Here is a 13,804-nt window from a genome sequence, read left to right on the forward strand (position 1 = left end):
TTTCTGCTTTGAGTGAACAGTGCAGCCTGCTGGGTGGCCAAGGGAACGTGTACAAATCCACTTTGTTTAAAGGACCCAGAGAGTAGTCAGTTCTGCTAAACCTCATCTGTTTGTTCAGGGATTTTTGTCCTGGGGAGGAGTGGGGAAGAAGCGATTAGTCAGGCCAGGCTAGCTGGTATTAGTTTGCAGGCTGTGAGTGCGACTCTTCAGTCTCTGCTCCTCTCATCATTGCCTTTTCACCTACCTTTACCCTAAATTTACGTACACCTCTGCCTTCACAAATTCCAAGCGATTAACTGTTGTATTTAATCTCTGTCCCAAATCTCTCTGCATCATTCTTCTTTTGATTATGAAGTCACGAGGGCCCTTTGTTTATTTTATTTTTAAAACTTTTTTTGAGAAGGAGTTTAGCTCTTATTGCCCAGGCTGGAGTGCAATGGCACAATCTAGGCTCACTGCAACCTCTGGCTTCCGGGTTCAAGCAATCCTCCTGCCTCAGCCTCCCGAATAGCTGGGATTACAGGCGCGCGCCACCAAGCCCGGCTAATTTTTTGTATTTAGTAGAGACGGGGTTTCACCATGTTGGTCAGGCTGGTCTCGATCCTAACCTCAGGTGACCCAGCCACCTCGGTCTCCCAAAGTGTTGGGATTACAGGCGTGAGCCACCGCACCTGGCCTCAAGGGCCCTTAAATATTACTTAGTTGTTCCATTATTTGGTGTGTTTTATTATTTGGTGCAGGTTTTTTCCCCTTATCTAGTTTGAATGTTGCTGAAGGACGCTGGTTTTCAAACGGTAAGGAATCTCCTGATAAAGGCACGAATCTTGGTGTGCAGATAAGCCAGCGATTCTTGCTTCTGGCTAGTTCTACGTTGTTCCTGGATGGTCAGTTCAAACTGCAATGATCCACAGCTCCAGAAGCGGCTTCTTCCAGTCGGCCTAGGAGCCAAACGCCCCTGCAGCTCCATGCTACCACGCAGGGTGCCGTTTCGGGCTTGCAGGGAGTTGTCGCAGTCCCGTTTTGGCTGCACATTCTACTGCTGGGGTGGAAGTGTCAAGCAAGATGTTGTCGCCGGTATCATGATGTCCGGGTGAGAAGCTTCCTTGGCAGGTTGCCAGGGCCAGCCTGCGAGCACTGGCGCCGGGGACCCGCGCGCCCGGGAAGGGGCGGGGAGGTGGGCGGAGCCTGGCAACCTGGGGACCACCAATAGGATGCTCAGCCGGAGGTGGCCCTGCGCGTGACGCAGCGGTGCTCGGAGGCAGGGGGCGTAGGGGCCGGGCTGTCCGGCGCTTTAGCTTAGCAGGCGACGTTGCGGGCCCTGGGCGCCAGGAGAGCTTCCCGGAGTCGACCTTCCTGCTGGCTGCTCTGTGACCGCTTCCCGGCTCTGCCCTCTTGGCCGAAGTGCCCGCTGCCGGGCGCGGGCCTCAGGTAACGGTGGTGCTCCCGCGCCTCTCCTCGCTTCCCGCTTGGGTCCACCGGCCTCAGCCCGCGGGGAAGGGAGAAGCGGTGGCGGCAGCAGCTCCGGCCCGGCCTTGTCCTGGGCTGTGCTGCGGAGAAGGCGAGGCTCGGCGACTGCAGGGGAGTTGGGGAGGGGAGGGCGGGAAAGTTACCGTCAGGCGCCCGGGTCACGGGCAGCCTTTTAAACCCTGCACGCTGGTTTGGTGTTCCGCAAATCTCGTGGCATCTCTCAAGTCAGTAGTAAAGAAAGTTAGGAATTAGAAGACGTTTTATTCTTTAAAAAGCGAAACCAAAAATGCACTCAGGAAGTCAGCTTTTTAATGATTTAGAGAAAATGTGTGAAGGGAAGGATGGTATTAGCAAGACATGAAAATCTGTAGGGGCACCAGAACCTTTAATCAAGCTCATGTTTTATTGTAAAATATTAGGATGTAGGTAAGTTTCTGTTTTCCCTAAGTGTTAATGGTCATGTAATTTAAATAATATGTATATTGAAAGGTTATTTCTAAGTGAGAAACAACTATATAAACTTTATTCTCCGTATATATATTTAGGTTAAGTTCGTTGGTCACTTTTGTTTGTTTGAGACGGAGTCTCGCTGTGTCGCAAGGCTGGAGTGCAGTGGCGCAATCTCGGCTCACTGCAACCTCTGCCTCCCGGGTTCAAGCGATTCTTGTGCCTCAGCCTCCTGAGTAGCTGGGATTACAGGCGTGCGCCACCACGCCCAGGTAATTTTTGTAGTTTTAGTAGAGACGGGGTTTCACCATGTTGGACCAGGTTGGTCTCAAACTCCTGACCTCAAGTGATCCGCCCGCTTCGGCCTCCCAAAGTGCTGGGATTACAGGCGTGAGCCACCGCGCCTGGCCTGTTGGTCACTTTTTAATATTTAAGTGGCTGCCACCTGTTTAAACCACTTTTTTCTTTTTTTCAGCCTGCTTGATTTCCTCTTCCTTGAAGTAGAATTCAATTTGAAGCTTTTTTTTTTTCTTTTTAAAAGTTGGGCGGTGTCAGTGAATGACTTGTTAAGGAAGTCTGTGCGTTGTCTGGGTGTGAGAATGGGTTTTGGAAGGAGCTCTGTGGCACTGAATTATCGTTTAGAAATGCACGTGTTTTAGTGAATCACATGCTTAGAATGCATCTGAGGTTTCGCAGTCTTTTAGGATAAAGACCTACTGAGTGAGCACACTCTATCTCTGGTTCATTTGGCCCACTTTCCTTCTGGCTTTCCAGGTTCATGCCACACTGGCTTTATTTTTGTTACTGGAAAGCTTCATTTTCTTTCCTCTCTTGGCTTTTAGGAGTTTCCTCCACCTCTAATGCTGTATTCTCTCCCTCCCTCCAACTCTTATACCTGCCTCAGATATCAGCCCACATATCACTTCCTCTGGAAATCACCCCATCCCCATTAAGCCCTCCATGAACTCTTTATTCTCCTTAGCAGAAGTTGATCATTAATTGTAATGAATTAGTTGCTTTGTTTCCTCTGCTAGTGCATTTCATGAAGGCTGGTTTAGCCTGTTGTAATTTTCAGGGTCTGGTCCAGCACTTGGCCCAGAGAAAGAATGAATAAGTTGGTGGACAGAGGAAGGAACTTTTGAATGAGAAATACAGTGATCCCCACTTAACTGCTTTCTGTAGTTTCAGCTACCTGAGGTGCGAAACAGAGTACAATAAGACATTTCGAGAGATACCATGTTCAAGTGAATTTTAATACAGTATATTGTTAATCTCTTACTGTGCCTAACTTTTTGAAACTTTGCCTCCCAGGTTCAAGGGATATTCATGCCCCAGCCTCCCAAGTAGCTGGGATTACAGGCGTGTCCCAGTACGCCCGGCTAATTTTTTTTTTTTTTTTTGAGATGGAGTTTGGCGCTTGTTGCCCAGGCTGGAATGGCACGATCTCGGCTCCCCGCAACCTCCGCCTCCCGGGTTCAAGCGATTCTCCGCCTCAGCCTCCCAAGTAGCTGGGATTACGGGCATGTGCTACCACGCCCGGCTAATTTTTTTTTTTTTTTTTTTTTTTTTTTTTTTTTTTAGTAAAGACTGATCAGATCTTACTGGTCAGGCTGGTCTCGAACTTCCAACCTCAGGTGATCCACCCGCCTCAGCCTCCCAAAGTGCTGGGATTACAGGCGTGAGCCACCGCGCCCAGCTCACCCGGCTAATTTTTGTATTTTTAGTAGAGACAGGGAGGGTTTCACTGTGTTGGCCAGACTGGTCTCAAACTCCTGATCTCAGATGATCGGTCTGCCTCGGCCTCCCAAAGAGGTGGGATTACAGGCGTGAGCCACTGTGCCCAGCCTGTAAATGAAACTTTATAATAGGTATGTATAGGAAAAAACAACGTGTATTGGGTTCACTGTTATTCACAGTTCTAGGCATCCACTGGGAGTCTTGGACCGTATCCCCCATGGATATGGGAGAACTACTGTATTAACCAGGGAAGAGTCCCTTTTTCCTATGGGAAAAAGTTTTTAACAAAGACCAGCCAAGTTCTATTTTTCTAAGAGGATGGCTTTGTTTTGCATTTTTTTTGCCACATTGGTTAATAAGAGATTATACTAACCATACAGATGTAAATGAGAATTTGTTCTTGTTCTTTAGTTTTGCTAATTACTTAAAGACCTAGTTCTGTGATATGTAAAAGTTGTAGCGTTGTGTTAGGGCCAACCTTTGGGTGCCAGAGGGAAATTTTTTTTGCTCTGGATTGTAAATTCTATCCACAGTTGTGTCCCCTTTCCACCACTGAATCTAAGGGTGATGTGGCAAAGTTCTTTACCTGGAGTAGGCACTCAGTATTTGTGATACAGATTTATGGGCTCTTTTGAAAGCTGTATTAATGGGAACACGGAGGCAGGCTAAAGTTGACATGTCTTTCCAAGTTCATTTGTTTCTCAAATCATTTCTTTTTGTTTTGCTTTCTTAAGATAAGTTAGATGCTTATCACACTGAACATTATGTAATTGCGTGCACAGATTAGATTCTTAAGAAATTCTTTTTCAATCAGTGTGTTGTATAAATAGCTGTCTACTTAGCTTTGTTACCTGGGGGGGAATAGCTTTATGTTACCTGTGACTTTGAACAAGTTTGTTAGCATTTCTGAATCTCCTGCATCTTTAAAAATGGACATGTTAAATGAGATATGTGCTACACCTACTGCACTCAGCACTTTGTTACCTGCTTCCTAAACGCTAGAGATTCCTTCACTGCTAGACCTCTTGAGAGACTAGTCTTATGATCACTGTTTTCACTTCCTCAACTTACTGGCGGTGTACTCCAATATATTTATTTGTCCTTCCTCCTAAAACTGTGCATGTAATCAAATCATAGCTATTAATGTCCCCCAATTGTGAAATATCCCATGTCCTGTCCTTTTCTTTTCTTTTTTGAGACGGAGTCCAGCTCTGTCACCCAGGCTGGAGTGCAGTGGCGCGATCTCGGCTCACTGCAACCTCCGCCTCCTGGGTTCAAGCAATTCTCTGCTTCGGCCTCCCGAGTAGCTGGGATTACAGGCACCTGCCATCACCCCTGGCTAATTTTTTGTATTTTTAGTAGAGACGGGGTTTCATCATCTTGGCCAGGCCAGTCTAGAATTCCTGACCTTGTGATCCACCCGCCTCAGCCTCCCAAAGTGCTGGGATTACAGGCGTGAGCCGGTGCGCTTGTTTAAGAAACAGTGGAAGGCCAAAGTAATGAGTAGAGAAAATGAGACAGCCAAGATCATGCCACTGCACTTCAACCTGGGCGACATGGCATGACTCCGTCTCAAAAAAAAAAAAAAAATGCCGGGCGCGGTGGCTCACACCTGTAATCCCAGCACTTTGGGAGGCCGAGGCAGGCGGATCACCTGAGGTTGGGAGTTCGACACCCCATCTCTACTAAAAATACAAAATTAGCTGGGTGTGGTGGCCTGTAACCCCAGCTGCTCCAGAGGCTGAGGCAGGAGAATCGCTTGAATCCAGGAGGCGGAGGTTGCGGTGAGCTGAGATCGTGCCATTGCACTCCAGTCTGACCAACAAGAGTGAAACTCTGTCTCAAAAAAAAAAAAAGATTGATGGTGTTTAAGGGGGTGGTGGTGAGTGGCAGGCAATGCAGAAGTTACTAGATCATGGTAAGGACTTAGGATGTTTGAAGGGGTTTAAGTTGTGAAGTGACTTGATCTAACTTGAGTGCAATGGTGTGATTGAGGTTCACTGCAACCTCCACCTCCGGGTTCAAGCGATTCTTCTGCCTCAGCCTCCTGAGTAGCTGGGACTACAGGTGCCTGCCACCACACCTGGCTAATTTTTTGTATTTTTAGTAGAGACGAGGTTTCACCGTGCTAGGCTAGCCAGGATGGTCTCGATCTCCTGACCTGGTGATCTGCCCACCTCGGCCTCCCAAAGTGCTGGGATTACAGATGTATTCCACCATGCCCGGCCCTGTTTTAGCTTTTGATGTAAGGTTTCCTCTAGAGTAGCTTGATGGTTGAGGAACCATCTTATTACCAAGGACTCCCTTTTTATATTTCTTCTTTTGGAGACAGGGTTTCACTCTGTTGTCTGGGCTGGAGTGCAGAGGTGCGACCTGTGCTCACTGCAACCTTCGCCTCCTGGGTTCAAGTGATTTTCCTGCCTCAGCCTCCTGAGTAGATGGGATTACAGGTGCTTGCCACCACGCCGGGCTAAATGTTTTTTGGGTAGTTTTAGCCTAGTGTACCTTAAATATGCTCCAAACACTTAATATTAGCCTACAGTTGGGCAAAATTATTGAACACAGACTATTTTACAATAAAGTGTTCATTATCTCATGTAATTTATTGAATACTATACTGAAAGTGAAAAACAGAATAGTTGTATGAGTACTCAAAATATGATTTCCACAGAATGCATGTTGCTTTTGCACCATCATAAAGTTGAAAAATTTTAAATTGAACCATCATAAGTTGGGGACTGTCTTGTGCTTAGAATAATTGGTTACATATTAACTGATACATTTGCTTTCTTTCTTAATGCCTGCCTGTTGTACTCCAGGTACTCCACACTAGATTTGGGGGAGTCTTACAGAAAATACTATGTAATCCCTATCTTTGAGAACTTAAGCCTAATGTAAGAGACAGAGAGTATTGCTCTCTGATTATAGGACAATGTAACATGTGACAGGATGCTCAGTGTAGTGGGACCGCAGAGAGGATGAGATGAGAGGTGGTGGTAAAGGAAACTTCAGAGGGTGAGTTGGAGGCGGTTTAGCGATTAGAGGGCAGGTTGTAGAATCTGATAGTCTTTGTTTTGAATTCTAGTTCTGCTGTTGGAGAATTATTTGATTTGGGACAAGTTAAATCACTTCCCTAAACTCATCTGTAAAATGAGGATAATACTTATCTAAGGTTGTAAAGATTAAATGTAATGTAAAAAGTTTAGCAGCACAGTGCCTAGAGGTACATAATAGGTGCTCATTAAATCAGAACTGTTGGTATTAATTCTATTACTGCTGTAGCTGTGATTCTTTGAAGGCTTGAGTAGGAGTTAGCTACATAAAAAAAGGGCAGAGGAGAAATAGCTTTCTATAGACAGGGAAGAGTATATGGGACACTATGGTGGCCAAAGAATATTTGGAAAATAACAATAGTATCTGTCTTGATTCTGTTGAGATGAAAATAATACATGTAAAACACATAAGCACTAAAAAAAATCAGCTGTTATTATTCTACTTTGAGAAATATTGCATTGTGCTATACTGTTTCATATGGCTTGGGTAATAAACTTTAATCTGGCATTTATTTTTTAATCATTTTGCTATCTTTTTTTTTTTTTTTTTTTTTTTTTTGAGACGGAGTCTTGCTCTGTTGCCCAGGCTGGAGTACAGTGGTGTGATCTCAGCTCACTGCAAGCTCCGCCTCCTGGGTTCATGCCATTCTCCTGCCTCAGCCTCCCGAGTAGCTGGGACTACAGGCGCCTGCCCCCATGCCCAGCTAATTTTTTTTTTTTTTGTATTTTTCGTAGAGATGGGGTTTCACTGTATTAGCCAGGATGGTCTTGATCTCCTGACTTCATGATCTGCCCACCTCAGCCTCCCAAAGTGCTGGGATTACAGGCATGAGCCACCGCACCCGGCTTCATTTTGCTGTCTTTTATGCTTTAAACTTTTGCTATATGCTCTTTAAAAGAGTATCTACTTTAAATTCCCCATCATCTGGCCAGAAAAAAAAAGTCTCTGTTCATCTGGCCAGAAAAAAAAAAATTCCCATTATTCCTTGTAAAATTCCTCTCTTACTGAAACATCTTGGTTCCTTTTGTGTCTTTCTTTTTCTTCCCTGATTTCCTCTACTTTGAGGCTGTCCCTCAAAGTTTAGTTTTCAGTTCTTACTTCTCTCATCATTTCTGATGAAGAGATAGATGCTCTTGTGGCTTCCTCTGTCACTTTTACACAGAATTGGACCATTGTAAGTTGGGCATCGTCTTGTGATTTATTAGCCCTGACTTTTCCCTTAAGTTCCTCTTAATTAGATCTTATGATATCATAACATTTCTACTTGATATATTCATCTGCTGTTCCACAATTGTTTCATTTGTTTGATTTCAGAAATAATTAGAAGAAAGCCGATCTAGATTTGTCAGATTTTTACTTTGCCAAGCTGTGATAGTTGAAAAACAACCAAACCCACCATGTACTATATTTCATCCTTTTATACAGAAAAGGATATTTTAGTACAAAAATTAAGAAAAACTGTAGTCTCAGAATTTAAATATATATAGCTTTAAAATAATGTAATGAGTATTTCACAGTTGTTTTCTTCTTGCTTTAGACTCTTGAAAACTTTATCACATAGTGAAACACTGCTTTACTTTTTATTTAAAATTGTTTTTTTGGCCGGGTGCGGTGGCTCATGCCTGTAATCCCAGCACTTTGGGAGGCTGAGGCGGGCGGATAACTTGAGGTCAGAAGTTCGAGACCAGCGTGACCAACATGGTGAAACCCTGTCTCTACTAAAATACAAAAATTAGCCACGTGTGGTGGCAGTCACCTGTAATCTCAGCCACTCGGGAGGCTGAGGCAGGAGAATTGCCTGAACCCAGGAGGCGGAGGTTGCAGTGAGCCGAGATTGCACCATTGCACTCCCACCTGGGCAAAGCGATACTCCTTCTCAATAAATAAATAAATAAATAATTTTGAGATGTGGTCTTGCTATGTTTCCCATGCCAGACTCAAACTCCTGGGTTCAAGTCATCCTCCCGCCTGAGCCTCCCAAGTAGCTGGGACTACAGCTGTGTGCCACCATGCCCAACTAGGGAAACACATGGCTTTAGAGTAAACCTTGTACTATCTTGATATTGATCTTTGATCATGTTTTTTAGTGCTTAAAGTGTCTCACCACTGCCTTCCTGAAAAACTTCTAATTTCTTAGGCCTTTATAGTTTGACTCCTGTCCTCCTTTCTAGTCTTTTCCCTCATCACATTTCTCCATTACCAACTATTTTCCCCCAGTAGTTAGTGGTCTTTGTAGTTTGGATCCAACTAATGCCAGTTCCAATCGGGCTCTGTCGTTAGCTGTGTGGTCTTGGGCAAGTTACTGTAATGAGAAGAAAAGCAGACTCTAGTACCTGGGGCTGTGGTGTGCATTCCTATAAATTCAGCTTGTTCAACTGCAGGTGTATTCCTGGTACATGGGTGGAGGACACTGATAGTAACTACTTTAAATCATTGTTTTCTCATGTGAAAACTGAGGGTAATTTTTTTCAGAATTGTTATGAAGATTAAATGAGAAAACTTAAAGCATCTGGCAGGGTCCTTGCACTTAGTAGATACTTAACAAAAACTTGTTTTTGTCGTAGTTCAATTCCTTCATGGTTCCCTGAACGGGGCTTATAAGGTCCTTGTTTTAATCCTTTCTTGCACATGGAATGCACAGTTCTCATCCTTCAAGACTGTGTCTAAAATACCTTCTTTTCTGTGAAACCTTTACATCTTCTGCTAATCTCTGCTGTCTCTGAACTTAAGGTATTGTTTTTACCATTGACTTTGTTATTAAATCATACTCCACCCTGTGGCATCTTTGTAGTTACCTGTTACTATTTAATCCTTTTTTTTTTTTTTTTACATACTTAATGCTTTGTTCAACTAAATTGTTCTTTAAGAGTGGGGTCTATGTTTAAAAAGGGGCTTCAAAACCATTCCAATTATTTTATAGGACCTGATTTCTTCAGATTTGTTATCTTGAGTATCTTGTACCCAGAAAATGCTTTGAAATGATTAATGCAAAAGGAAGAGAATGTATCATCACATTTCACCTCTCCTAAATATAGTGGTATTGTGAAATTCACGTAAGCCAGATGCTTAGTTCAAAGCTGATATATTGGTTTGCTTCTGTGTCCCCACACAAATCTCATCTCTAACTGTAATCACCACGTGTCTAGGGAGGGAACTGGTGGGAGGTGATTGGATCATGGGGGCAGTTTCCCCCATGCTGTTCTCGTGATAGTGAGGGAGTTCTCATGAGAGCTGATGGTTTTAAATGTGGCACTTCCTTGCTCTGTCTCTCCTGCCGCCACGTAAGACATGCCTTGCCTCCCCTTGGTCTTCTGCCATGATTGTAAGTTTCCTGAGGCCTTTCCAGCCATGCGGAACTGTGAGACAGTTAAACCTCTTTCCTTTATAAATTACCCAGTCTCAGGTAGTGTATAGCAGTGTGAAAACGGACTAATACGAAAGCTTTTTACACCTTCTTTCCTAGACAATACAATGGTGGGTGAAGAGAAGATGTCTCTAAGAAACCGGCTGTCAAAGTCCAGGGAAAATCCTGAGGAAGATGAAGACCAGAGAAACCCTGCAAAGGAGTCCCTAGAGACACCTAGTAATGGTGAGGCTTAATTTTTTTTTTTTAGGTGAATTAGTGAAATAGAGAACAAATACAGTGTTATAGAATAAGTATTGCCATCTCTTTAATTCTTTATTGTAAATGGGTATTGATAGAGTTTTATATGTCTAGTAACAAAGCAATTAGACAATAAGTCCTTTCTCGTTAATTAATTTGGTGGTCATCTATTGGTATCTGCTGTGTTTTAGAGACCATTCATTCAGTCACGTAACCTACCAATAATTGCTGAGGTCCCCCGCTGGATGCTGGGGCTATAGCAGTGATCAGTACGGATTTGTTTGCCATTATGGAGCTCCAAGTTAAGTGAATGACAAAACCTCCAAAATCATACACATAACTAGATTTATCACAGTGTAATATTCTTGTAATTAACTACTTTCATAATAGATGTAATGAGTAAAATGTGAGTAATTAGCAGGGTGCCTAACCCAGTTCAATACTGAGCTATAAATCTTGGGAGAGGAGTAGTTAGGGAGTTTTATTAGTTCTTGTATCCACGTTTGCTTAATGCCTGACTACAAAGAGGAATACGATAGTCCTTTGTTGTTAAGGTCAAGGTTTATGATTATGAATGATAGACTTGTAAACACAACTCTAATTGATGTCATCTATTGCATCAGGGTATTAATTTTTGCAGTGACATTTGTAAAGGTTTGATTTCAACAAGGATTTGAAAATTGAGGATTGTTTAGTTAACAAATAGGTGCGGAACCTTCTGAGACAGGTTGTCTTTGGCATTTCATCTCTTTTCATAAAGAAACAGTTTTGTTTTTCCTACCTAAATTTAATTAAACTTAAATATCAACAGCTGGATCCCACCAGGAATGTAAACATTGCTGCTTGAGTTGGCATAATGAGGTTTATTGATAGGCTCTTAGTTAGCTATATATGACATATTTATATGGCATATGGGCTAGTTTTAGTGTGATATAAAATGTGAAATTTATGCAAAGGAGGATGAGCCAATACTGGGGAGAATTCTCCTTCCGTGATTTAGGGACTTAGTGATAACCCAGTTTGTTTCCCTTGCCTGCATTCTCACGCATTAGAAACTTCATGCTTGTTTGTTCCTTCCAGTTCTTGGGACAGAAAAGTTATTTTAATTGAAACTTTCTGTCACTGTATATGATCATTCTCTTTATGTCCCAAGTTTTTAAAAAGATTCTAAATTCTTCTGATTTCTGTGTATTTTCAGTGTTCTTTATTGTCCTAGTTCATTAAGTTTTAGTCAGTCCAGGTTTTAGTGCAGGTGTTAAAAATTGAATTGGTTAGCTTAAATCAAGAAGTGTAACAACCTCTTTGGTTTAATGTAAATAATGCTAATTTGAAAATGTTTCTTCACATATTGTAACATTTATTCACCTTGGGGAGTAAGTGCTTTGGGAGTAATCCCAAAGTTCTGGGATTACGGGCGTGAGCCACCGTGCCCAGCCTGGTCTAGGTGCCCTTTCTTTCTCTCCTTTTTTTTTTTTTTTTGAGACAGTTTTGCTTTTGTTGCCTAGAGTGGAGTGCAATGGTGCGATATTGGCTTACTGCAACCTCTGCCTTCTGGGTTCAAGCCATTCTCCTGCTTCAGCCTCCCAAGTAGCTAGGATTACAAGCATGCGTCACCACGTGCAGATAATTTTGTTATTTTTAGTAGAGATGGGATTTTACTATGTTGGTCAGGCTGGTCTCGAACTTTTGACCTCAGGTAATCCACCAACCTTAGCCTCCCAAAGTGCTGGGATTACAGGTGTGAGCCACCATGCCCAGCCCTTTTTCTCCTTTTTCTTCCCCTCTTCCTCCTTCTTTGTTTCTTCCCTTTTCCCCCATCCCCTTCTCTTCCTTTTTCCTTCCATTCCTCCTAATTGGAGATAGTCTCGCTTTGTCACCTAGGCTGGAGTGGTGCAATCTTGGCTTACTGCAACCTCCACCTCCCAGGCTCAAGTGATCCTCCTGCCTCACCCTCCCGAGTAGCTGGGATTACAGGCATGTGCTACCACGCCTGGCTAATTTTTGTATTTTAATAGAGTTGGGGCTTCAACATGTTGGCCAGGCTGGTCTTGAACTCTGGCAAGTGATTTGGTTGCCCCGACCTCCCAAAGTGCTGGTTTTATAGGCATGAGCCACCATGTCAGGCCTCCATTCCTTTTAATTTTTTAGTAATATATTTGCATACCATTAAAGTCACCATTTTAAAGTTTACAATTCAGTGGTTGCTAATATATTTACAAGGTTGTGGAACCATCACTGCTGTTTAATTTCAAAACATTTTTATCACCCTGGAAAGGAGTCCCATTCCTCTCCTCTTAGCCTCTAGCAACCACTAATATACTTCCTGTCACTTTGGATTTGCTTGATCTGGGCATTTCTTATAAGGGGATTCGTAGAACATGTGGCCTTTGTGTGTGGCTGCTTGCACTTAGCATAATGTTTTCCATGTTTGTTTGGTTTTTTGATTTGAGGTGGACTCTTGCTCTGCTGTCCAGGCTGGAGTGCAGGGGCTATTCACAGGCATGATTATAGCACATGCAGCCTCGATCTCCTGGCCTCAAGTGATCTTCCTGCCTCAGCCTCCTGAGCAGTATGTTTTAATATGTATCAGTACTTCATTTTTTTTTTTTGTGGCTGAATAATATTTCATTGTATAGGTATGATACAGTTTGCTTATCTGTCAGTTGATATTTATTTTGGGGGGGTTATTTACAATGATTGGCTATTATGAATGATGCTGCTATGAACATTTGTGTAGAAGCTTATGGAATATATGTTTTCAGTTCTCTTGGGTATATACGTAAGAGTTGAGTTGCTGAGTCATGGTAAATGTATGTTTAACTTTTTGAGGAGCTGCTGTACTTTTCCAAAATAGCTACTCCTTCTTATGTTCCCACCAGCAATGTATGAGGGTTCCAATTTCTCCATATCCTCACCAAGACTTATTATCTGTCTTTTGATGATAGCCTTCCAGCCAACAGATTAATAATCTGGTGTCAGTTAAGCACCTTTGATCTAAATGTAAGATAGGGTACCAGGTTTGTTAATAGGGAGCTTGAAGTTGGTGTGCATAAGATACCCAAATAGAAAAAATCCTTTGTTATAAATAGGAGCTAAGTGAGTTATAGTAACCAAATAGAGACCGATGGGGTTGGGGGAGCCCTTGCTTTAGAATGGAGGAAAGTCTCACTGAAGTAGATTTTGAGTTTGGCCTTTGAGATAAGAAGACTGGGAGAGGGCTTTCAATCCACAGAGGTATGCATTTGCAAAGACTTTTTAAGACAGTATAGTGTTGTGTGTGTGGTGTTTTGTTTGCTTTTAGAGAGGGTGACGGGTAGGTAGTACAGATGGATTTGTGGTTGGTTTTCATGGATAGGAGTATAGAGCAAATTGGAAAGGCCAGAAGTAAGTAAGAAGATAAGGCTCCAACAGCCTCTCAGTGCCCAGCCAACTGCCCTGGCAGCTAGTGGGTAGTGGCCCTTGCTGGGGACCCTCCAGTGGGCCCAGGAGGACAAA

The 13,804-nt window shown here is 43.1% G+C and overlaps 1 protein-coding gene across 6 annotated transcripts in view, besides 2 other annotated features; it reads left to right on the forward strand.

Moving 5' to 3' along the window:
- Nucleotides 1,084-1,273: a silencer, noted in NCBI's record as "silent region_1589". NCBI's record gives its function as "represses an Ori minimal core promoter by ATAC-STARR-seq in GM12878 lymphoblastoid cells {active_cell/tissue: GM12878}" and the evidence as "EXISTENCE:reporter gene assay evidence [ECO:0000049][PMID:35858748]".
- The window catches only part of SOAT1 (sterol O-acyltransferase 1), a 64,884-nt gene continuing 52,368 nt past the window's right edge, over nt 1,289-13,804 (forward strand). For 3 of the 6 annotated variants that reach the window (NM_003101.6, NM_001252511.2, XM_011509912.2), the window contains exons 1-2: nt 1,289-1,428; nt 10,169-10,294. In NM_003101.6, coding sequence (NP_003092.4) covers nt 10,177-10,294 — 118 coding nt within the window. In that variant the 5' untranslated portion in view covers nt 1,289-1,428; nt 10,169-10,176. Of the gene's footprint in view, nt 1,894-10,168; nt 10,295-13,804 lie in introns of all 6 variants that reach the window. The other 3 variants (NR_045530.2, NM_001252512.2, XM_011509911.2) reach the window with 2 other exon arrangements.
- Nucleotides 1,486-1,993: an enhancer, noted in NCBI's record as "H3K27ac hESC enhancer chr1:179263129-179263636 (GRCh37/hg19 assembly coordinates)". NCBI's record gives its function as "activates a minimal SCP1, AML or CMV promoter by ChIP-STARR-seq in primed H9 embryonic stem cells {active_cell/tissue: H9 hESC(primed)}" and the evidence as "EXISTENCE:reporter gene assay evidence [ECO:0000049][PMID:30033119]".

The sequence above is a fragment of the Homo sapiens genome, chromosome 1 (assembly GCF_000001405.40).
Source record: "Homo sapiens chromosome 1, GRCh38.p14 Primary Assembly".
Taxonomy (NCBI): domain Eukaryota; kingdom Metazoa; phylum Chordata; class Mammalia; order Primates; family Hominidae; genus Homo; species Homo sapiens.